Source organism: Homo sapiens, chromosome 1 (genome assembly GCF_000001405.40).
Source record: "Homo sapiens chromosome 1, GRCh38.p14 Primary Assembly".
Classification (NCBI taxonomy): domain Eukaryota; kingdom Metazoa; phylum Chordata; class Mammalia; order Primates; family Hominidae; genus Homo; species Homo sapiens.
In genome coordinates this window covers 177,162,399-177,185,509 of record NC_000001.11, presented here as the reverse complement: position 1 = coordinate 177,185,509, position 23,111 = coordinate 177,162,399, and the positions used below count along the sequence as shown (strand labels likewise).

The 23,111-nt window shown below is 43.1% G+C and overlaps 2 protein-coding genes across 9 annotated transcripts in view, besides 3 other annotated features; one reads left to right on the top strand and one right to left on the bottom strand.

The window, feature by feature from the left end:
• Nucleotides 1-14,552, bottom strand: part of BRINP2 (BMP/retinoic acid inducible neural specific 2) — a 111,465-nt gene extending 96,913 nt beyond the window's left edge. For both annotated transcript variants that reach the window (XM_005245379.3, NM_021165.4), the window contains exon 1: nucleotides 13,778-14,552. The gene's annotated coding sequence lies outside the window, so the exon portion shown is untranslated. The remainder of the gene's footprint in view (nucleotides 1-13,777) is intronic.
• Nucleotides 3,413-3,974: an enhancer, noted in NCBI's record as "H3K4me1 hESC enhancer chr1:177150672-177151233 (GRCh37/hg19 assembly coordinates)". NCBI's record gives its function as "activates a minimal SCP1, AML or CMV promoter by ChIP-STARR-seq in naive H9 embryonic stem cells {active_cell/tissue: H9 hESC(naive)}" and the evidence as "EXISTENCE:reporter gene assay evidence [ECO:0000049][PMID:30033119]".
• Nucleotides 13,736-14,324: an enhancer, noted in NCBI's record as "H3K4me1 hESC enhancer chr1:177140322-177140910 (GRCh37/hg19 assembly coordinates)". NCBI's record gives its function as "activates a minimal SCP1, AML or CMV promoter by ChIP-STARR-seq in naive H9 embryonic stem cells {active_cell/tissue: H9 hESC(naive)}" and the evidence as "EXISTENCE:reporter gene assay evidence [ECO:0000049][PMID:30033119]".
• Nucleotides 14,325-14,914: an enhancer, noted in NCBI's record as "OCT4-H3K4me1 hESC enhancer chr1:177139732-177140321 (GRCh37/hg19 assembly coordinates)". NCBI's record gives its function as "activates a minimal SCP1, AML or CMV promoter by ChIP-STARR-seq in naive H9 embryonic stem cells {active_cell/tissue: H9 hESC(naive)}" and the evidence as "EXISTENCE:reporter gene assay evidence [ECO:0000049][PMID:30033119]".
• Nucleotides 20,798-23,111, top strand: part of ASTN1 (astrotactin 1) — a 307,392-nt gene continuing 305,078 nt past the window's right edge. For all 7 annotated transcript variants that reach the window (XR_001737193.3, XR_921796.4, NM_001286164.2 and 4 more), the window contains exon 1: nucleotides 20,798-21,116. Coding sequence is in view for 5 of the 7 variants with exons in the window: in NM_001286164.2 (NP_001273093.1) it covers nucleotides 20,834-21,116 (283 nt within the window). In the remaining 2 variants the exon portion in view is untranslated. The remainder of the gene's footprint in view (nucleotides 21,117-23,111) is intronic.

Here is a 23,111-nt window from a genome sequence, read left to right as displayed (position 1 = left end):
CCCTAACTCCGCATGCACTTTGTTCATTCTCTCCTTTGGAAATTTAATAGGGATAATATGGCTGGGCTGCAATATCACCCTCCTCCTGTAGGTGGTTCCTTCTCCCTTACGGCAGTACTTTCCATAGAAAATTTATTTAAACACATATTTAATAGGTGTTTGGTAATAAGATCAAAAAAAGTTTCAAGGTCAAGATATATTGGAAATACTTGGCTAAACAAAGATAAAACATGTTTCTTTATTGTAGACCTTTCCAGACCGGTCTAATGTGATAAGTGCATTGTGAACCTCCGAGTGCCTATGAGGGGATGGGTGGAAAGGAGGGCACGTTCTCCAACTTTTCTAATCGCAGAACCTTTTTTTTTTTCCAACATGACAACCATTAACCACTTAGGCGACGTTAATATTCTACCAAACCGAGTATGGGTAACATTTCATTTGGATTGCCTTAAAATGGTATTTCTCAAAATGCGGTCTGTATATCATCTGCTTGTTAAAATTCAGTTTTCTGAATCTCATGCAAGACCTACAGAATCAGATTCTCTGGAGGAGGGGCTGGGGATTCTGCATTTTAATAAGCTCCCCAGGTGCACATTGCATTTTGAGAACCACTGCCTTAAAGGAAACACATCCCTAATTTTGTAACATATACATTTGAAATCCTGAACACTAAATATTCTTAATAGGAAAGATTCTTGTTAACTTTCTAGTAACCCATATTTTAATGGAAATGGGTGTGGTGGGGTAGACGATGAGGTATTGGGGTTTTTGTTATTTTATTTTTAACTGCATAAACATAAAAGTCTTCCCTGTGCTCAGTATTGAGCCAGGGATCTGGGGAAAAAAATGATTAAAAAAAAAAAAGACTCAGGCTCTACCTTCAAAATGTTTATAGTTTATAATTAAAAAGGGAAGTAGACATACTACTTGGCCTCTTCGCATCATTGTAGGACCTTGGCTGCAGTCATCTTAGAAGTCAAGTTCACATGAGAGATAGATGGCACATTCTAGGAATTAAAGTAGGGAGAGAAAGAATTTATCTTCTAGATGGCTCAGTCATGAATGAGCCACCAAGATATCAGTTTTGTTTGTTTGTTTGTTGCTATCCTGAGAGTTGGGGTGGGGTTGGGGAGAACCATGTAGTAGAGGACTGCATACACAAAAAGTTAGATGAAACAAAGGATGAGGGTGAAAAGTAAGGGGAGGGGAGACCTAATAACTGGATGAATTATGGGGAAAAAACCCTGCTGACTCTGTTCAGTTTAAGGTGAGAAATGACAGGATTAGAATGTCAAATTGCTGAGTCCTACAAACCTAACCATAAACCTCCTCTAAGCTGTTCAGCTTTTTTTCTCTGCAGTCACTAATTAAATCTTGCCTTGAAAGAAATAAAGTAAAATAAAAGCCAAATGCTTTTATGAGTCAAGTAGATTGCATACCATCGGCCTATAAGGAGCTGGGTATCTGGTCGATGTGTATGGGGAACTGAAAGTGGAAGGAAATCAAGATAATAGAGCACTTATCTCTCTCTTTAAAAAAGTTTTCATAATTATTTCTCATTGAATGTCCCATCTTTGTAGCATCTTACTTTCATATGCAGTCTCTTTTCCCTATCTAGCAGTAATGGAAAACATGTGGGATTCCCTTTTCAGTGTGATTTATGCAGAACTGTAAACCAGAGGAACCCAAAGCACATTATAAACAGTATTTGAAGTTCAAAAATCATTCATGTCTCCAACAGGAAGAATGACCAGGGTAAGTTTAATATGATGGTTCACCACGTCAGTATCCTTTGCACCATCCACACCTTTTATCCAGAAAATATCTTCATAAACTGTTTACTTTCTTGAATATAAGCTTGCTACATTGGTACATTCCCAAGTCTCTTCTCACTGATTTAATGAAAACACAGTGTCTGTGTCCTAAGCTTAGTATCTTTATGATCAAATATCTGACTCCATTACCTGAGGCCATGATGAGTCCATTTTTCCTGTCACTCTCCTCTCCTACGTGGGGCAGATCTGCCCATCAAATAAGAATTTAAGCAACTAAAGCCCTAACAAAGATATTGCTGGCCCTGTGTTCTTCTGTTGTTTGCCTGAGCAAAATCCATCATTACTCTATATGCATATGGCATGTGTCAACTGTTTTAAAATTAGCCAATTTTCCTAAGCATAAAAATGGATTTTTGTCATATCACATGAACCATATATCACAAAAACAAACCAGTTTTTGTTGTGGCTTTTTTTTTTCTTTCCAAAATACATGAAGTCTTTTTAAGTCACTGCCAAATCCATTTTGCTCACTGCATTTGTGAGATACATCTAAAGAAACGAAGCAGAAAAAGAAAAAAAAAAAAAAAAAAAAAAAAAGCTCACACACTGCCATCACCTGGAAAGAAATCTAGTTCATTACCAAACCAACCATGCCTAGGAGGCTGGATTGCTTCATCCTGCTTTTAAATAATAAATAAATACAGCATTTGCATGCTGCCCTGCACTGAGAGTTTGAGACAGGGCAAAAAAAGAAAAAAAAGAAAAGAAAAAAAAAGAAAAACAACAACAACAACAACAAAACCCCTAAGTTTAAGAAAAAGAACTGTCATTTATGGAGCATTCTACATATCAGACTTGATGAGTACTAATTCTGCATTATTTCATTTCATACTCTAACCCTGTGAGTTGTACCACATCCATTTCACAGATGTGCATCCTGAGGCTAATGTAGTAAAGTAACTTGGCAAGATCAAATACATGGTACGTAGCAGAGCCTGCCAAAGACTTGAACCCAAGTTCACCATGCCTGAGCCTCTTCTCTCAATGACCATGTCGTCACATACGAGAGCAAAAAAAAACCATCGAAACTTCTAAAGACATGATATTGCGGCACCAGGTTTCTTTTCTTCATTAAGCCTGTACTGGTGCGTTCTTTAAGGGTTGTAGCTCAGAGCAGCCCTCTTTGGGAAATTCTGCTTGAGCCTTTGCATAAAGCCTCCAAACATTGCTAAGCTCAGGAGTGATGCAGCGTATGTAAAGAATCAGCAGCTGTCTGTATGGTTCGTTTTGAAGGGCCTACAATTCCTCTCAACAAGGAAAAGCACCATGTCTCACTTGGGTTAAAATCTGTGAATTTCTCTTTTGAAATGTTCTAGTGTTAATTGGGAGGGCAGCACATTAAATCATTATTAGTCATTAATACCTTAACACAAATTAGTTGATCAGGTTACTGAGAGGTGTGAAGGGCCCTGAGGGAAGGATATTATCTTGATGGAGGTGGTGGGGAGTTGCCAAAGAGGGCAGTCTCTGGATTGCTGCAGGGGCTGAGTGAGGCTGAGTGAGGGAGCTAAGGGAGGATGGGAGGGGTGGGGCAGGGAGGATGGGAGGGGTGGGGCAGGGAGGGAGGGACGGCACCAGGACTAATCAGCTTAGTTCCAGACAGGATTGCTTCTGCAAATGCAACTGTCCCTCCCCATTCCTTCTCCGCACACGCGCACGCACACATGGCTCCCCTGCTGTCCCTTTCGAGCTTGCCGGAGTGTACTTACAGATAAGGGTTTTAGGAAAGGTACCGGCCACTCCTCGGCAACCTCCGGGGCAAGAATCCCGCCTGCGCCTCTGCGGCCGGGGGCTTGTAACACAGCTTTTCGCCTCTAGGGGTCTCTAGTGACCCGAGGCTTCCGGAGGAGGCTGCCCTTGCTCCGCGGTCCCTCGCGGCTCAAATCCGAAAGGTCGGAGATTTCAGAAAGAAGAGGCGTGTGCAGGGCGCCTCCCAAGACCCCGCCAGCCGCCGGCACACCCGTCAGCCACCTGCCCCTGCTCCTGCCTAACGACGTATTGATGATAAATGGCTGAACACCGAGTGAGGGGGTGGCAGACATTAGCTGCCCCCACAGTCCTCACTGCGTGCTTAGTTATTTCTATGTCTCAAGGGGATTTCAAGGACCTCCCTCTGCATCCCCACCTCACACTCTTCCAGTAAACCCAGTCCCCCGGCCTGCCAGACTACAGCCTAGCAGGAGTCTCCGCGCTCTCAGCCCGGCAGCCTCGTGGTGGGGATGGGGCATGAACCGGAGTGAGGGACAGGCAGGCCCCAGTCACCAGCTACCCGCTGCCGCTGGGCCTGATGTTCTGCCCTCCCTGAGCTGGGGCTCCCCGCGAGGGAGGACCGCTGCCTTCGTTCTGGGAGACCTGGGTACCCTAATGAAAACAGAAGAAAAAAAATCACAACTGAGGAGTATTGGGAAAAAGCACGAAACTTTGAGCAAGGCACTTGTTCCTCCCAGTCCACTGTTGAAGAGGCTGCAGGAGTTAATGGCAAAATTCTGGCTTTCTAATTCATCCTGCAACACTTGTTTGAATCCCAACTCCACTATTCACTAGATGTGAGATCTTGGGTAATTGACTTAACCTCTCTGTACCCATTTTATTTTTTCATCTTCAAAACGAGAATAATAGTATCTACTTCATAGAGAGTTGTTAGACTTGAAAGAGATCTTACAGTGCATACTCTCAGCATCTAGTATAGTGCCTGGCACACAGCAGGCGCTCATTCATAGACATTGAACTCCTTGCATTTTCAATTACTGAGAACGAGGGAGAACAACAATGATTGGTCCTAGTCTCACAGAACTTCGCAGATGTGTCTGGGTGAGTGAAAGTCTTATATTTTAAAATCAATTTTAATATATCACCTGTGATTTTAAATGAATCACAAGTTTTGCTTTTTAAAGAACTTCTGCAGTGGTCTTCAATGTGTTTTGAATACTTTTAGGTTCCAAGGAGTTGCCCTAGGGAACACTTGTGGGTGAGGAAAGAGAAGAAACAGGTGGCGGAGCTCCAGACCCCCTAGGCCTGCTCCAACGAGAGAGCTCCCCTTTTATCTGCTTTATATATTGGGGTTTTAGGTAAGGGTTTATTGATGAAAGTCTTCCACTGCTTTTTTGAGAGATGAAAACCACTGTGAATATGTCCTTGTATAATTCAGGGAAACCTTTTCCTCCAGGCTTAAGGATGCTCAACTCTGCTATTTGTCAATCATTGTCTTTAATCTTTACAATTTTTGTGCAACATAAGGTGTAATATCCATTTTACTAGGTGGGGGTACTGAGGCTGATACAAGCCACACATAGCAGAGGTCACACAGTGGGTAAGTGACTATGACCAGATTGATGCCCAGGTTTGTCTTACCCAAAAGTCACCCACCCCATTGAACCTCAGAGCCACCCAGGGTGGAAGGCAGAGGGCATGGTGCAGGGGCAAGAGCCCAGAGTCTGAATGTTGGTTGCTCCTCTATGCTTTGCCTTCCTCAGTTTCCATATGCAAAACAGGAATGACACTTACTTCATAAGGTTGTAATAAAAATTAAATGAGATAATATAAGTAAAAATGAACCTAGTACAATTTTTATCATAAAATAGGCATTGGGAGTATATTAAATATGTATGAACTTGTCCCACCCATTTCATCTGCTCGCCAAATCATTTCTTTAACCTTTTATTATAAGAGATATTCATTCAGAAGGTATAGATGCATGCATGTGTATATACGGGGTGTGCGTGTGTGTGAATACATACGTACATATGTGTGTATAGATGTGTGTGTATATACATAAAATTGTAGAGCAAACTTGCCCTCGGGTCAAGAAACAGAACACTGCCAGCATCTCAGAATCAACCCCCTCTGCATACCCCTCCTTGATCAAATTCCCATTTCTCCCTCCAGTCCAATTCACTTCTCATCTTGTTAAAAAATAATTTTCTTTTCCCCTTTTACTCATGCCTCTGGGTTGTCCCCAGCCCTTTTGCTATGCCTCTGTCTGTCACTTTGCTAAGGTTCTGAGTGACACGTTGTTCACAGGAGAGAAGTGAAATAAAGTGGTTCAGCAAAACAGGTGTGTGTGTGTGAGAGAAAGAGTGTGTGTGTGAGAGAAAGAGTGTGTGTGTGCCATGCTTCCTACCCTTGTAGGATGCAGCATACTGGACACCTTCTGAGATATGTCTTAACCCAAAAGAACAGGAGGGACAAATAGATTGATAGGGGATAGGTTTGGGAACATTTGGGCTATTTGCTGTACCCCAAGGCCACCCAGGCTTGAGTGTGGTACCTCCAGCAGTGACAAGTGAACATCACAGCAGCTAGTGTCTTGGTTACATAGAAGAAACAATTTTTCTCCTCTTTAGATTCCCAGATCCAACTCTAGAATTTCTACTTTTCTCAATTGACAAATTACACCTCAATTTGAATGTTACTTTCTCTAAGAGACTTTCCCTGACCGATGCCTCAGTCACTCTGTCTGACAATACTCTATTTTATCTTCTTCATTATCAGCACTTGAAATTATTTATTTGTTTATATTGTTATTTTTCTGGATACCATAGTAATAAAGAATGTGGACTCGGGGTCTAAACTTGATTAGAATGCCAGCTCCCCTAGTTACTAGCTGTGTGGTCTTGGGCAAGTTACTTAGCCTCTCTGGGCTTTCAACTCAGCGTCTATAAAATAACAAACCTACTTACCTTATAGGATCAAATGAGTTTATTTGTGTAAAACTTCAGTACAGTGTCTGCCTGACACTTAAGTACTATTAAGGTGTTAGCTATTATCGGCAATGTCCATAATAACCATGATTATCATGATTATAATCATACCTTCTGTCTAGAATGGAAGCAACTTGAGGGCAGACCTTTTATCTGTGTTGCTGTTTGCTGAATCCTCAGTGCCTAGGAATATGACCCAGCACTACACACTCTTAATAATATACTCAATAAGTATTTTCAGAGAAGTATGTCTTCGAGCCTCGATCCCAGCCCTGCTGCTTGGTGCAGGAGATGGCCATATCAACAAGTCAGAATGGTGTGGTGAGTACAGAGCAAAAACAGAATTTGAACAAGATGTGTAGGAGTCTAGAGGGGGAGGCAATTAATTCTGTCCCAGAGTTTCAGAGAAGACTTCATAGAGGGATACTATTTACAGAGTCTTAAAGCTCAGTAACCCTTCAAGAAGCAGAGAATAGGACAGGGGAAGATTCTGCATGAAAACAACTCAAGACCTCTAAGGCTCCAGAGTGCTGAGGGAGCTGCCTGGTGTTTGAAGTGGCTGCTGTGAGAAGCGGGATGTAGGAAAGATGCACAGAGAGGTTATTGGACCAGCTCATGAAGGAGCTCCTGTTTGTTATGCTAAGCAATTGTTATTTTGACAATAGTGGGGAGTCACTGGAGAATTACAGTAAGAGGAAAAGCATGGTCAAATTTACTATTTTGAAAGATCATCCTGGCTGCAGGGAAGAGACTGGACTGGCTAGCCTTCAAGGGAAGAGATACAGAGATCAAGTCCTGGGAAGATGCTGGAGAGAAGGGTGAGAGCCTGGCATCAGACAGTAGCACGAGGGGTGAGGAGGAGAGGATGGCTTTGAGAAATCATTAGGAGGTAGACCCTGTCAAGCCTGGAGGGGCATGTAGGGGCAGTGTGAGAGAAAGCAGAGCCCAGGACAATTTACATTTCTTCATTATTCGTTTGGAAGTCGGGTGGATTTTGGTACCTTTAACCAAAGCAGGAATTTGGGGAAAGGAATAGCTTGGGATGTGAATTGGTGCACACTGATTTTAGTTTTGAATTTTAATCTTGGTGATGTCAAAGTGAAGACCTTTAGTAAGAAAGAGTGTTAACATTTGTTGAGCATCTACAATGTGCCTGAAACTATGTTTGGCACCTTACTTATTTTATCTTATTTAACATTTAGCATAACCCTTTGAGAGATCTAGCATTACTATTTTTTACTTCTATAGATGATAAAACTGAAAATACAAGAGGTAATAATCCCCCTTTTACGTGGTTAACATGTACGAACAGTAAGTAGAGTAGTTTGATTAAGCAAGATTGAATGAAGTAAATAGAAAGAGAAGGATTAGAAAATACAGTAATAAAGGTAATTTGGGGCAGGTTATGAAAAACCTTGAATGGAGTTAATAACCATCCCACAGGGTTGTGAGAATCAAGTGAGAGAAAGCTTGTGAAAACCTTTTGTGAACTATAGAATGATAAGCAAATATGAGTTCAAGTTGTGGCCAAACTTATTGCAGTGAATGACAATAATGACAATGAATGAGTTATAATATTCCAATCTGTAATTTTTAAAAATTCAATTATTGTGTCTTCTCCCCATTCTTCTTCTTGGTAGGTCCACAAATTTTGTTGTTGTTGTTGTTGTTGTTGTTGTTTGTTTGTTTGTTTTTATAAAGAGTCTCGCTCTGTTGCCCAGGCTGGAGTGCAGTGGCGCAATCTTGGCTCACTGCAACCTCCACCTCCTGAGTTCAAGCGATTCTCCTGCCTCAGTCTCCCAAGCAGCTGGAATTACAGACTTGCACCACCACGCCCAGCTAATTATTTCACAAAATAATCTTTAATACATGGCCATGCCTTTCTTTCTCCCCACCACACTATCAACATATTGATAAGAAAACAGAAAGCTCTCACAAGGAATGATCATAATGTGGTAGAGATAAAAAGAAAGGAGGAAATTTGAAAGACAAACATACCCAGCTGATCCCACTATTGTGTCCTCACCCTTTGGAGTAAGACCCTAAAGATTAGTTACTCGGTTATTTCTACTGTCATTCAAAAACTCGAAAATATTAGGATAAAATTACCAAGCCACCCACCGGCTCACTCTTTGTATGTGAGCTGAGAGCTGTAATGCTTCCCAAAGGCTTTGGGTGGGCTTAATTACAGTTAACAAGGTCCCTCTTCAAATAAATATAGGTTGGTGTATGCTATTTGTGCCCTTCTTGAATTGAAATTTTAGAAATACATGCCTTAAGGCTCACTCTGGGCTGCTCCTGACCCCTCCCTCCATGTTCTTTCTCTTTTTATGTCACCAACTCCTCCTATTTCATGCCTCTGCACCTTTTCCCCATTAACCTGTCACTACTTTGCAGGGCCTTTGTTAACACTATCCAAAAATAATAATAATAATAATAATAATAATAATAATAATAATAATGCCAGCCACTTACATAATTTTAACTTTTCTAGTAGCCACATTAAAAAATAAAAAAGAAATGGGTGAAACTAATCTTAATATATTTGATTTAACTCAATGTATTCAGAATATTATCTTTTTAACATGTAATGAAGATTAAAAATATTGATGAGATATTTTACATTGCTTTTCTTTTCAAACCAAGTCTTCAAAACCCAATGCATATTTTACATTTACAGCATACATTTCAAGTGCTCAAGACCCACATGATGCCAATATGCTATCATATTGGCAACTGCCTAGAGCTTAGTCCTGTGAGGTATCAAATTGTCTTCTCCCTTTGCCCAATCCAGAATTCCAGAAAAGTTTGCATTTCATGTGAGCCTCAGTAAGAGGAATAATGGGACTGGCTGTTGATGATTCCATGCTGTGTTGATGCTACTCAACTTTACTTCTCTGTCTATGGCAGAGTGACAATTTAAAGAGGGGCTGACCTGCATCCTAATTGGTCAGACGAGATTGGTTCACCATAGTCCCCAGTTTGAAGCATAACTCGGCTGTCTGTCTCTTCCTTTCTAGATAGAAGAGACTTTAATTCACAACCCTTAACCACATGCCCTTGGGCCCAGATCTCTACCTCAGCCCCCAAACATAGCAGTGGATGCTTCTGAATAGTAAAGAGAAAAGGAGTCATGCTCACAGTCCAGCTGCACAGTCATTTAAGACAGGAAACAAGGGTGACAGCAAGGTCCAGGGAAGGATTTTCAAGGGAAAGTAATGTCCTTTGAGACCTGTTCCCCGAATAAACTCCTAGGGCTAAGCAAACAAACAGACTGGGTTCTTGGGGGTTTTACTTTTGACCTGGAAGCAATTATGGAGTGACTTTAGGTAAGCCATTCCACTTTCATGTTCAATGGGAACTTCCTCTATGTTGGAATGGGGCCACCCAAGCCACCGGTGACTTGCAGCATGAAAAACATCCCAAACCACGTGAAGACCAGTGACTAGGGTTGTTGTGTTACCAGTCCTCTCACAGGCCCTGCGCTTTGCCTTGACCTTTCCTCTGGGAGAGATGCCCACTGTGGGAGCAAATGTGTGTAGCTGGCTGGTCACAGCTCTCTCCTGGTGGGCCCTTCCTTGGCATTGCCCAGGCTGGCAGGCTGCCTCTCCCCTCTCCTGCCCAGCTGAGCAAGCACAGTGCCCTGTGGTACAGCTTCAGGCAACACCGCATCCTGCCCCCCCCACCCCGCTTTTCCATGGTCTCCTCCTTAGTGGCTGCTACAGTGTATGTTTTATTAAAAGGGAGAGAGAAGGGGAGACAAGAGGTTATGTACATGGGCATGCTCAAGAATCTTAAGATTGAAAATCTCCTGCTCGCTGCTAAATGCCTAAGGGCTTTGGCATTTTGCCAGCTCTAAGAAAACCCCAGGAGGAACATTTGGGTGGAGAAATAAGAAATGAAGGAAAATCAAGGCTCTCTCTTAGGAGATTCTGATTGTAAAATATGAGAAGTTGTGTGTGTGTTCTCTTAAAATTTGCTTGCTTACCCCCAATATCCTCATTCAGATTTTTTGATATCATGTTGATAAGCTCTCTGAGGTTGAGCAATACTTTTCCCACAATATATAGATTAGACTTGAGGATGGGTGGAAGGCCAGATAATTTTCAATGTCTAATGAGATGCCCAGCATAATACAGAGCCCCCTGCCTAGGTTCTAGGGCAACTTCCTGTAGACCAATATATGTTTAAAATAATTTAACCAGGTGTATGGTATTTCCAGAATGCAGAAAAGAAAGGTAGCCCAGGGTAAACCCCAAGGAATCAAGCAAGCCTCGAAGTTTCCAAACTTCCCAACAGTGCTGCAGTTATTATTTCTGTCAGCTAGAACCCTTTCCCTCATTCTTTCTATCCAAACAAATCCCACCGCATCCCTCATGGCTCAACTCAAATTCTCCTTCCTTTGAATACTGATAGTTCTCATTATCTGTACGAATCAATCGCAGATGAACTAGGTCAGCCTTGTGAATTCTCTGGTATTGAATTGCTGTTTAGAACCTACATCATCATTTCCCTTTTGTCAGATGGGAGCCTAGTTTCCTAACTAGACTGCAAGATCACTGAAGGCAAGGGCAAAGGCCTATGAGACTTTTATTCTTCACTGCTTTTAAGTTAGTCCCGGAGGAGAAACCTTGTGTCATTGTAACATCTCCATCCTTACAAAGTACAGAACAACTAAATCAGATTATAATTACTAAAATCAAACCATTCCTTAGAAGAAGCCCATGGAGTCTGGGGTTGGTTCAGGAGCAGTGAGACCCAGATCCAATTCCACAGTGTCCCTTAAGTGCTGTGTGACCCTGCATAAAGCAGTTCCTCTTTCTGAGGTTCTCTGCCCTCCCTTTTCCAAGAAGGGGGCTAAAATCATTTTAGCTTTACTTCTTAGGGTAATCAAAGATAAATGAGACAATAAGCCGTGTGAGGATTAATTAGATGAGCTCTGGAAAGTGCTGTCAGCCCTTTGGAAGAGGATGCCATTATAAAATGTATACAAGGTCTTATTATTTAAGAGAAAGAGTTGAATCACCAAAAATACACTGCGCAGTGGGGAAAACAAAACACTAACCAGGAAACCTCAACTAAGCATCCCAGTCAGCAGAAAGTGCCCACGCAGATGTCTCAAGTCCCTCCAGATTACCTCTTGTTTGTGAGTTGGGGAGGGATTTCAGAGCAGTGCCTCAAGGGAGTGTATCATTTTTCTGTGATGCTCTCCAGTGGCCAGCCTGTGTCTTGGGAAAGGGGATCAGGAGAAGGTGATGACACAGGGTTGTTCTTTGCCCTTTGGCCTTGTTCAGTAAACAACCTGTCAGGAGGCCAGAAAGGAGCACGTAGAAGATAATTTTGAGGGCCAAAAAGGGAAGATGCTCCCCATCTTTGAGACCAGCCCCATGCTGACAGAGCAGGAACCTTCCTCCTTCCCCAGCCCTTTTCTCCTCACCTCCTTTCTTGTGCCCACACTGCAGCACACATCACTCCATTCTGGGAGACAAAGCCAGCTCCATTTTTGGTGAAGAGGGGAAGTAAGAGTCAAGAATGCTCCTGTCTTCTCCATGGCTGCAGCCCAGCTGTCAAACACTTTGGCGCCAGCTGACCTCCAGAAGGGGAGACTATGGTGTGACATTTGCTTCCTTTATCTCAAATATTTCACAATATACATGCTCTGTGCCTTTTCAAATTATATCCTCCTCAAAGAAGCAAGGCATGCATCTTTTCCTAGAGTAGGCAGCAGCTCTGATATTGATAAGACAGGATCATTGTGGCAGCATGTCTCGGTCATGCCCTCAGTGCTGCAAAGCAACTTATTCTGGGTGAAGGGGGACTCCAGAGGGTCATGCCTTAAACAAATAACATACACACAACTGTGTGAGTCAGGAGGGAAAGCACACAAACTCCAGCATCACTTTGCTGTTGCCTGATGTCATCAGACTGCCCCCCGGGGGATTTGGTATACTTTAGTTGCTTGGTTAATACTGGCATTGCATGTATTTTAGCGAGCATGGTCAGAGAGAGTCACTTCAACATGCACATGTCTGGAGAAGGACAGAAGCAGAAATACTTGACTTATAATATACCTTTTATCCCTCTGATTGGTCTATGCTGACATAACAATGTCCCTGCTGAATAAGGCCTAGATTACCCAACTATAAGCTTGACCTTTTATAATTGTTATCCTTTTAACAAAACATTTGTTTCTGCTCATAGCACCCTGCTCCTAGGGCTGCAAAGAGCACACACACAATTCTTTACAGAGGGGTCTGTTCAATCACATTACAGTGCATTAGCTTGAACATTGGTTAACATTTGGCTTAGGTCTATATACCCTGGATAAATATGTACCATGCAGAGGGACTGCTTGGTGAGGAGAAGAGTCCTCTGGGCTGGAACAACAGCTCACAAGTTCGTGTTCCTACTAGGCAGGAACACTCCAGGCATCCGTGATTTGGACAGGGTGCTGGACATGCTTGGTTCTTCTGTGGGCAGCCTGTTTCCTGCATACAGCTGTGAGCACAAGCACACATACATACACACACCACAGGCAGCATTCGACAGTGTACCCAGATGATCACAAAAACAGAGACAGAGATCTGCTAGATGATACCAGCACATCCCACCTTTCAGCACAGCAATGTTCTTCCCTAGTGTCTCCAGTGCTCTGCCAGGCTCAAGTCAATCAATGGGGCTTCTGCCACCACCCTGGGGAGACTATTTGCAACCTACAGGGTTCACTGTTTGGAATTTTATTTTCCTGACTGCATGTGCATGGGAAACATGCCATAGGGCTCTATGAGCACGATAATATAGATATCGTGCATTGTAACCTCAGCTCTTTGGGCTCCTTCCCAAACATAATGAACCTCCCAGCGTCAGCTGGGCAGGCAAAAGTCCTCGTCATCTTCTGCAATTATGCAGCCCTATTGAATTTTCTGAAGCTAATAGGAGTTGCACTAACTTTGAGGACTTAAACCAGGCAAAAGCAATATAGGTCAGGCAGGGAGCCCAAACCCTCTGACAGCCATGCAACACCAGGAGGCAATACCAGAGCAATCTCTAGCTCAACCCCAAAGTCCATTGCTCAACTCCACAAGACAGAAACTAGGAGAGGTGGCATCATTCCCTCTGCCTGCCACTGCCAGGCACCAGGGCAAGAGGGTTGTATGAGAGCAAAATGGTCCCTTTACCAACGGACACACCAAAAAGGACAATGAAAAGGGGAGAAAAATCACCGAAACCCTGCACTGTTACCTTGAATCCTTGCAAGAGCCCTCCTTGCTGTATCAGCTGCTCCCCAAACCTTCAACGACTGGGAGGAGACTCCTAAAAGATTCCAGGTTTTTGTGCAACATCTCCAGTGGCAGCTTTCCAAAGTTTTTACTTCATGATTTCTTGTGGTTCTTTCTCATTTGGGGAAACGCGAATGCCTCCCCCTCAGCGTGTGAGAGGGAGCGGATGTCTCTTTTCAAATTCTCTTGCTCCCCGCTTTACTGTCGGTGCCGCCGCCGCCGCCACCGCCACCGCCGCCAACGTTAGACCACTTGCCTGCTGCCTTCCCGCTGAGCAGCCAGGATCCCGGTCTCCCAGAGCATCTTTGAAGTGGGGCTTCGGCACTGGGCCGGGGCGCACGCGGGGTGGGAGAGGTAAGGGAAGTGCAAGACCCAACTGGGGGAGTCCCCTGTCCCTCCGCCGAGGAGAAACCCAAGATTTTGCCTTCTTTCCAACTCTAAAGAGACTCACCCACCCGCTCTCTCACCCGAAATCACTGCCTTGCACATGGGCAGAGACAGGTCTTCCGGCTTCACCGCTCCCTCGGCTGCCTGCAGACCTGCCACTGACCTCGGAGCGCACGGCAGGTGCACATCCCCGGGCAAGTCCTAATGGGATCCTCCGAGCTCAGCGTAAGCGCTGCCAGCGCAGCGGCGAGCAGCTTGCGAGGCAGGCGGATTGCATCCCAGAGCTGCAGCCCGGCGCGTCCCCGCTCCGACTCCGCGCTCCGTACCTAAGCAGTGTCACCTGCAGACTCAGACACCAGATGAGTGTCTTAAGATAACAATGCTGCCCTGCCTGCCTCTCTCTTTCTTTCTTATGCATGTAGGTTGGCAGCCAATGGGACACAGCGCCACACTCCCCACAGGTGCCCATTGGCTGGGCGGCTTGGCAGGGGGCGGGCTCTGAGCCTCACCGCTCTCTCCTTTGGTGAGCTGGCAGGCTGGGGTACCAGCTCTGTTAACCCTCCCAGCGTTGCAGTGGGGACTTTTTGGTGTGTATAAGGAAGCCTTGGGTACATTCACGGGTGGGGCGTTGGACACTCTTAAAAAGGCTGGGGAACAAGAAGTAGCTGGGGAGCTAATTACATTTTCTTCTAATCTTCCTGAGTTACAATAATCATTTATCCCAGCCCATTTTGTTTGCTTGCTTAACTAGAACTCCCAGAGATTGGGACCCATCTGAGCCATTTTCCATCTAATTTGAGGTTTCATTTGGTTGTTTTGTGCATTTTTTAGCCTCTTGGATTACTTAATTAGAAATGAGCCCCCAAGTGAGAAATAGTACACACACACACACACACACACACACACACACACACCCCAGAGACCCAAGAGGAGAGAGAGGCAAAAGAGAGCAAGAACCCAGTAAGATGGCTAGAGAGTGAAACAGATTTAGAGGCCAGGACAGCTAAATCAGGAAACATTCTGCCCCCACACCAGGACTGTAAGGACAAAGGCAAAGAGGAGAACTTCAGGTTTCTGGGGAGAGATTAAGTTTCAAAAATGTCCCTCCAAAAAAGGGAATTGTTTTGCCTGTGGTGTTTTCCCTCTGTGTGTCTCCTTTCACTTCTGTGTGTGTCAGGAAGAGGGACTGTGCATCTCCGTTTAGTTTTTAAAGGAAGACTAGAGAAATCAGAACAGGACCAGCCTTGTTTCTGTGAAGCAGGTGCTGTTGCTGGGCCTGTGAATTGAAAGAGAGGGAGGGAGGAAAAAAGGGAGGGAGGTGGAGGGAAAAGGGAGGAAAGGAGAAGGGAAGAAAATATTAACTTTACATTGAAGTGTGAAGTATATATTTTTGATATCCTAATGAGGGTACAAAACTGAAACATGTCCCGCTAACTAGCATACTAAACTAGATTTTGGCAGGAGCATAGGAAAAAGAGTAATAGTTGAAGAAAAATCCAATTCAAGGGAAGAGCTGGGGGCTGGAGCTGGGGAAGGAACTTGGGAGATCCATGCTAAGTCATGTGGTGGGGGAAGTATGAAGAAGATAAATATATAGTCAGAAAGCGAGAGGAGTCTTTCAATTTAGTTTCCTTAAATGGAGAGCAACATCGGAGATTATTTTGTAAAGAACTAGAAAAAAAAAGTATGTAGAGATTTAATGAATGTGTAAGAAGTACACATGGAGATTAGCTAAACTGCATCAAGTAGCCGTAAGTTCTGAATGAATAAAGAAAAATTAGAAATTTTCTTCATTCATCCCCTCAGACTCACACATCTATCACTTTCACCTATATTTTCTTCTCTGTATCTTATACAACGTTGAACTTCCTTCTGCATACTGCAAGTATCTGTTTGCCTAAGCTACAAAACATGTCAGAGAATGGTGGTCCCACAGGGTCCTGAGCTCTCTTTCTAGAATAAAATAACCAAGAGAACCACTGAGAGCCTAAATCTATTGCTACCCAACTGCTGAGTTATTTACTTTTGTGATTTCTAGAGGCAGAGACCCACTGAACTTGTCCCAAGTGACAACATACTGAAATGTTAAAATAGCATAAGGGAGTGGGTAAATAGAGGGAGAGGTTGAACAAAGGATTGCTAATTTCAATGGAAAGAAAGTTAAAATTTCCAAAATCTGTAAAAGAGAGAGGAAAGAGGTGATGGCAGATAAGAAGACAACTTGAAAAAGAAAACTTGCTTGTACTTTCTTCTCCTATAAAGTCTGAAGCCGTGTAAAAAATTTTAAAGAGGCAGAATATACATTAAGAATTGCCACAAGTGTATAGTTTAATTCTTGCCTATATATGCATCAATGTAACCATTACTCACTTTATTTCCAGCACTGCAGGAAGCATGTTCGTGAACGTTCTCAGTCAAAACCCTCCACTCCCCAGAGATAATTATATTCTGACTTCCATCACCAAAGATTAATGTTACTTGCTCTTGAACTTTGTAAATATAGGATCTTAGAGTATACACTCTTTTGTGTCTTGATCCTTTCACTCATCATTTTGTCTCTGAGATTTATCCATGTAGTTGTATGTTTTATTGCGGTGCACCACTCTATTACATGACTACATGGCATTTATTCATTCTGTTCTTGATAGATATTTGGGATGTTTCTGGGGTTTTTTGGCTATTATAAGTAAACTTGTTATAAATGTTTTTGTGCTTGTCTTTTGGTGGATGTATGCAATCATTTCCTCTGGGAAAACACCAAGGACTATACATTACTTAATTTGCTTTGACTACTACACTGGAGAAAATCTCATGAAGATGACTCTGAAGCCTATTATCTTGCCAAAATAATTGAATAAGGTGATAGTGGCAAAGGCTATCGCTACTGAGTGCCAACTAAATGCCTAAAATGTGTCACATTGTTTACATACATAATCTCATTTCCTCCTCACAACCACCCCCAAAACTATGTATTATTCCTGTTTTGCAAATAAGAATATTGAATTTAAGACTTTGTATTAGGAAATAGCTCTTGCTTTCCTGAGTGTATGTGTATGTATATGTGTAGATGTTGGGGGAGATGTAAATAAATGCCCAGGGAATGGAGCTAAAAGAAGGGAAGTGATGGAAGTTCTCACTGCATAGGTGCAGCTGCAGATTAGCTTGGAGAGATGGGACAATCTGAAGAATAAAGAGTGTTGCACTTCAGGTGGACAGAATGTTATGGGAGGAGTGAAAATAGGAAATAGATTTTAATTTGATTGAGAGATGTGTGTGTCTGTGTGCACATGTGTGGTGGGAGGATAGAGATATAGTGCAGTGAGCAAACTATCTAAAAAACAGTGTGAGATTAGAAGAGTTTTAAAATTTCTAAACCATGGGTTTTCAGCTTTATCATGTAGAAAAAGAAAAACTAGAATGACATAATGAAAGTTAGATTTCATGAAGATCAACCTGGTAGTTGTGTACAGAATGCGTTGCTAGGAGGAAAAGGAATCAAAATCTATTTTAATAGTCAAGGAAAGAGGCCATTGGTGCTTAAATACAGGAAGGTGTATCTCAGGAGAAAAGTGAAGATTGGAGATAACAGCGCTTGCTGTTTTACAGTGTTTTAAAGAATAGAAATTTTCTGAGAATGAATAAATGCCATGTAGTCATGTAATGGACTAGTACACAGCAATACAATATTGAACTACATGGATAAATCTCACAGACATAATGATGAGTGAAAATATTAAGACACAAAAAAGCATATACTCTAAGATTCTATATTTATAAAATTCAAGAGCAAGTAACATTACTCTTTGGTGATGAAAGTCAGAAACATTTTCTGTGACCAGCAGGGGTGAGCGGAGATGATTGGCCCCTTTTGTTGATGGGGAACTAAAGACAAGAATGGTCCAAGCTTATCTCCAAATAAGAATATTATGAAGTTAAGTCTTGAATCCAGTTCTATTATTTCACTATATCATTATGCCTCTACACAAAGGTGATGATTGAGATGCATAACATTTTCCCCCATCTCCTCTAAATGTAAAACATCATGCATTAGAGATGGCCTGGTTTCCATGTACTTCAACCTTTACCCACATCTCTAGGTATTTAATTCCCTAAGAAAGGGCCATGTGACATTATTTCCATTTTTACAGGAATCAAGTACTCTGGAATAATATATTCTCTTTTAAAAAATTCTACTGTTTCTTTTGTTTGGTTTTGTTTAGAGAGGTCTAGAAAGACTTGAGATACCAACTACCAACTATGCCCAACTCAATATACATTTTAAGAAGACTAGATATTGACTTATTGGAAAATCAACCCTAAATGGTTTACTTGGGCTTTCTAACATGACTCAAGAATCTTCAGAAAATTAGAAAGAAAGATTTCAAAGTGACAGTAGATTATATGCTACTCAAAAGCAGGAGTAGTATTTTTCTGGCTGTGCTTAGCCTAATGCTTATGATACAGTAGGTACACAAACATTTGCTGAATTAATTACTGTGGTCCATAAAGCCCAGTGATTATCCATGGGTGCACCCTAGTGTACCATAACCATATAGTGGAAAGAGCAGTGGGCAAAGAAATCTTGTTCATGGTCTTAGCTCCATAGAAGATAGATCACTCTTTAATGGGTCTCAATTTCCTTATCTGTTAAGTGAGAGATTGGATGAATACATGATCAGGTACTTACATGCCATTTCTCACATTCTAGTATCAAGGGTGTGTTCCTGACATCCACTATAATTATTCAATGGCAAATAACCTTGCATAAGTAAGTTTAATACTAGATTTTTGTTTATGCTAGGGATAACAGAATGAAAGAGATATCATGGGGTTTTTGTCTCACTCAGTATCTCTTAGGGGAGCAATGACGATCAGGATGAGTTTTCAAAAGTCGTTAGCTGGTACATCTTTTTTACAGTAGTTTACAGTAGTTTGCAATGCTGCATGGTAAGATAACTTGGGGTTAATTCCCAGATAAGTTACATATAAAAACTCAACTAATAAAGTGTCTTTGTTCTTCTTTTCTTTGCATATGTGGTAAATGATCTTTCACTACTTAAACATTACCTTAAATATGGCTTATTTTCTCTATTCAATTAGATAAACTTTGTAAAATATATGGCAAAAGCTTTTTTGTCTTTTAAAGAACATATTTTCACATATGCCAATAAACTGACACCAGGTAGAATGAAAATGTAATTGTTTCTTAAGTAGGGGTCCTCTTTTAGAACAGTAGTGCATTAAATTTCTAGAGTGAGAACTACAAATAACACAGTCTTCACAGCACCTAGTATTGAAGTTAGCATTGACCCAATAACAATGGAGGGACACACTTTTGAAATAAGTTATTGGTTATCATGTGAGAGAAAGTTCAGTTAAATGTCAGATTTCAGAATACACAATGTCACTTTTCTACCACTGTTTATTGCATATTGTCATCATTTTTAAAAGGCAACATTGTTGAGCACTACTGGGAACAGATCTTACATGGGTTTTGGTGGTGGTGGTGGTGGTGTTATTCTTCAGAATACTTACGCAGGGTGCTGAACATCTTCCCTGTTGTACTCTTGACTGGATTGGGATTGACTTAGCTCATACCCAAGGATATTCTTTTATTACTTTTCCATCTGTTAAGAATGCTTAGGAACTTTGGTTTTTCTCACAATTTCTTTCCAGCTTTGTCCTATTTACTAGATTGTCTAAAATTAAAGTTTCAAGATTTATTTGAGCTAACCCTACTTTTTTTCTATCAGCTATAATATTCCCCAAATCATCTTTTTATTGGTTACTACAGATAAAATTTGTGATAGAAATGAAATGAAGCAGAGAGAAGTTGCGAGTAAAAGTTTCGATCTCCTGCTTAACTGTGCACCTTACTCTGTTGTGCATATCTATCCATCCATCTAAACCAGTATAACAAATATTTTCTTTAAATATTTTGCAAAGTTAGTGCTAAGTAAAAATATGCACATGTGCATTCCCAGCTCCCGTTTATCCTATGTACAAATCCAACTAGTGGGGGACGGGGCGGGGTGGAAGCAAGATTCGGACAAGCTATAATACATCCACAAAACCACTGGGGGAATTTTCATCTCCCCTCACCGCGCAGCTTTGCAGAAGCGCCCTTTAAGGTGTATGTCTGTGTGTGCCTCTCTCAAGCCTTCTGGATGATGATGCGAGAGGGAAGATTTTACATTGCAAAGATCAATGTATTAAAAATGCCGTGCAGGTAGTTCATAGCCAAGAGCCTTGCTCGTGTTGGAGGATGCAACGGAGGAGAGAGGCAGGAGCACCGGCAGCCAGCTGGGGGCTGACCTGATTCCCTAGAATCCTCAGCTCCCTTCCTCTTTCCTTTCGACGTCCTTCCTTCCCTTTTTCTCCTCTCCCCCCTCCCCCGCTTTCCCTTCTCCAGATAAGCAGCTCCGGGAAACAAAGAATCCGGGGCTCTCCAGACATCAGAGCTTAAACCCAGGACTCTGCAAGCGGCATCTCATTCCGGGGTCCAGGGCTCTCCCGGCTCTCCATCCCCTCCCTAACCTCCCCCGCCTCCCGCGCTCGCTCCCTCGCTCCCTCCCCGCTCGCTTCCTCCCCCACCATCGCAGCGCTAGGAGGAAGGCGGCCGGGGCTCAAGATGGCTTTAGCCGGGCTCTGCGCCCTGCTCGCCTGCTGCTGGGGGCCGGCGGCGGTGCTGGCCACGGCCGCCGGCGACGTGGATCCATCCAAGGAGCTGGAGTGCAAGCTCAAAAGCATCACGGTGTCGGCACTGCCCTTCCTGCGCGAGAACGACCTGAGCATCATGCACAGCCCCTCGGCCTCGGAGCCCAAGCTCCTCTTCTCGGTGCGCAACGACTTCCCGGGAGAAATGGTCGTGGTGGACGACCTGGAGAACACGGAGCTGCCCTACTTCGTGCTGGGTGAGTCCCGGGGGAGGTCGAGGCGGCCGGAGGCGCTGGACCGGCGCCCCCACCCCCCACTCCAGCTCGCTCTACACACCCACTCGCCGACGACCTCCCCTCCCCCACTCCTACCTCCCGGATCCGCCCCACTCCCGGACCATTCTCCACACCCACTTGCATACTAGCGCCTCTGTGCACCTGACTTCTCCCCAAATCCGACCTGGATGCTGAGCCTCCTCTCAGCTGCCCTGCCTCAAAGAAACAGGTTGCATGAGTCTCTCTGAAACCTCTCCCAGCCTTGACCTCCCAGCTTTGATTCAGGAGCACATCCACACAGCACTTTTTGTCTGCTACCAGTTCAACTCCCATAATCCCTTCTCCCCACTCCCTAGCCACATGCTCAGCTCTTTGCTTCACTCACTCTGGATACCCACACCCACCTACAGCACTTCCTGGGGGCTTTAGAAACAGGTATCCTGTCATCACCTTGCCAGCTATGTGCAAGCCAGATTCTAGTCTTCATTCATGGAGAGCCCTTTATCTGTCACCAGGCTACTGACACCCTCCCTTCCAAACACTCAAGTTTCTTATCCCCCAGCTGTTCATTCTGGGAAGTCCTACCTCCATGCTTAGATGTCACAACCCCCTAATTCAACCACATCCACACATCCATGTCACGTCACAGTTGGTTAAAGATATTATACAACTGTAGTCTGTTAGTATTGGTCTCTTCTTTGTTCCCAGGGCCACCTTAGATAGGCGTAGGCATTCCTGCACACAGAATGACCTTTCTAGGCAAGGGGCTCTTCCTTCCTTTGTTTGTTTACATCTCTCTCTTTTTGGTACTCCCACTGTAATTTTCTTAGGTCACCTTCAGGTAGTGGAACTCCTGTCACTTCAGGTACTGGAACCCATACATTACTTCAAATCATCCCTGTTTTCCACTACTAAGCTGCAAAGGTTTTGTGGTCCTGCTCTAGTATCTTGCAAAGCACCACAAGTTCATGTTACTTTGCCAAATTCCCCTCACTTCTCCATGTGTAGATGGAGCTCTCACCTTGCTGTGCATGCCTACCATGCAATCCATTTCTTTAGTGATGTTGCCAATTATTCTTATTTTGCCCAGGAGAAATTCAAAGAAAACCACACTTCAGTCTCTAGATCCAAGTAGAGAAAAAAAGAAAATGTCTAGGAGGCTGTTCCATTTACTTGATACCCTACCAACTACAGTTCCATTTGCAGAAACATGGTTTCCTGATGGCCACATGTAGGCTAGAGCCACATGTGGAATTCTAACACATCCCTCTTGCTCTTCCTTCATAGGAGATGTCTTCACACTGAAAACACTAGGAAGTGAGTGAATAAACCCCTACTCCCCAACCCTTAGGGAAAAGCAATTTCAAAAATTGCCTGGCCCTTTGAAAAGTTGCTTTATAGTTCCCGGAGTGCAGCTCAGTTGAACCCATTAAACCCAACCTATGCTCTTGATAGGATTATTTATTTTTGCTTTCAAAAATACCAATAACATAATAAAAACTGGGGACTAGCTGGAAATGGGAGCATTGTGGATATGCCGCTCATCAAAATGTACAATTACTGGGTTATTTGGAGGATGGAAAGTTCACGTTGAAGTCATGCTGATATGCAAAGTACAATCTGTTCATCATAGTATATAAAAGTGAGTAGAGGGAATTATGTGTTTCTAAAGAGGCTGTTTTGCACTCTGCTTGTAGTGTTTACTGTGCATGAAGAGGTACAAGCATGGTGCTTAAAAAAAGGGAGGGCTAGCAGGTATTCAACATTTCATTTCTTTTTTGCAGAATCCCAAAACCAGGGCCTAATGCTGTGATGTGCCTACTAGGAACCAATGTGCACAGTGAAAGCCCAGATGTTATAAGAACGGGTTTTCTGCACCTCTGTGCAAAGCTGCCCACTGCAGTGTCCTGTTGGGGTTGCTATGGTAATCTGGTGCAACTTGGCATTTACACACAGGCACACAGACACACTCTCTCA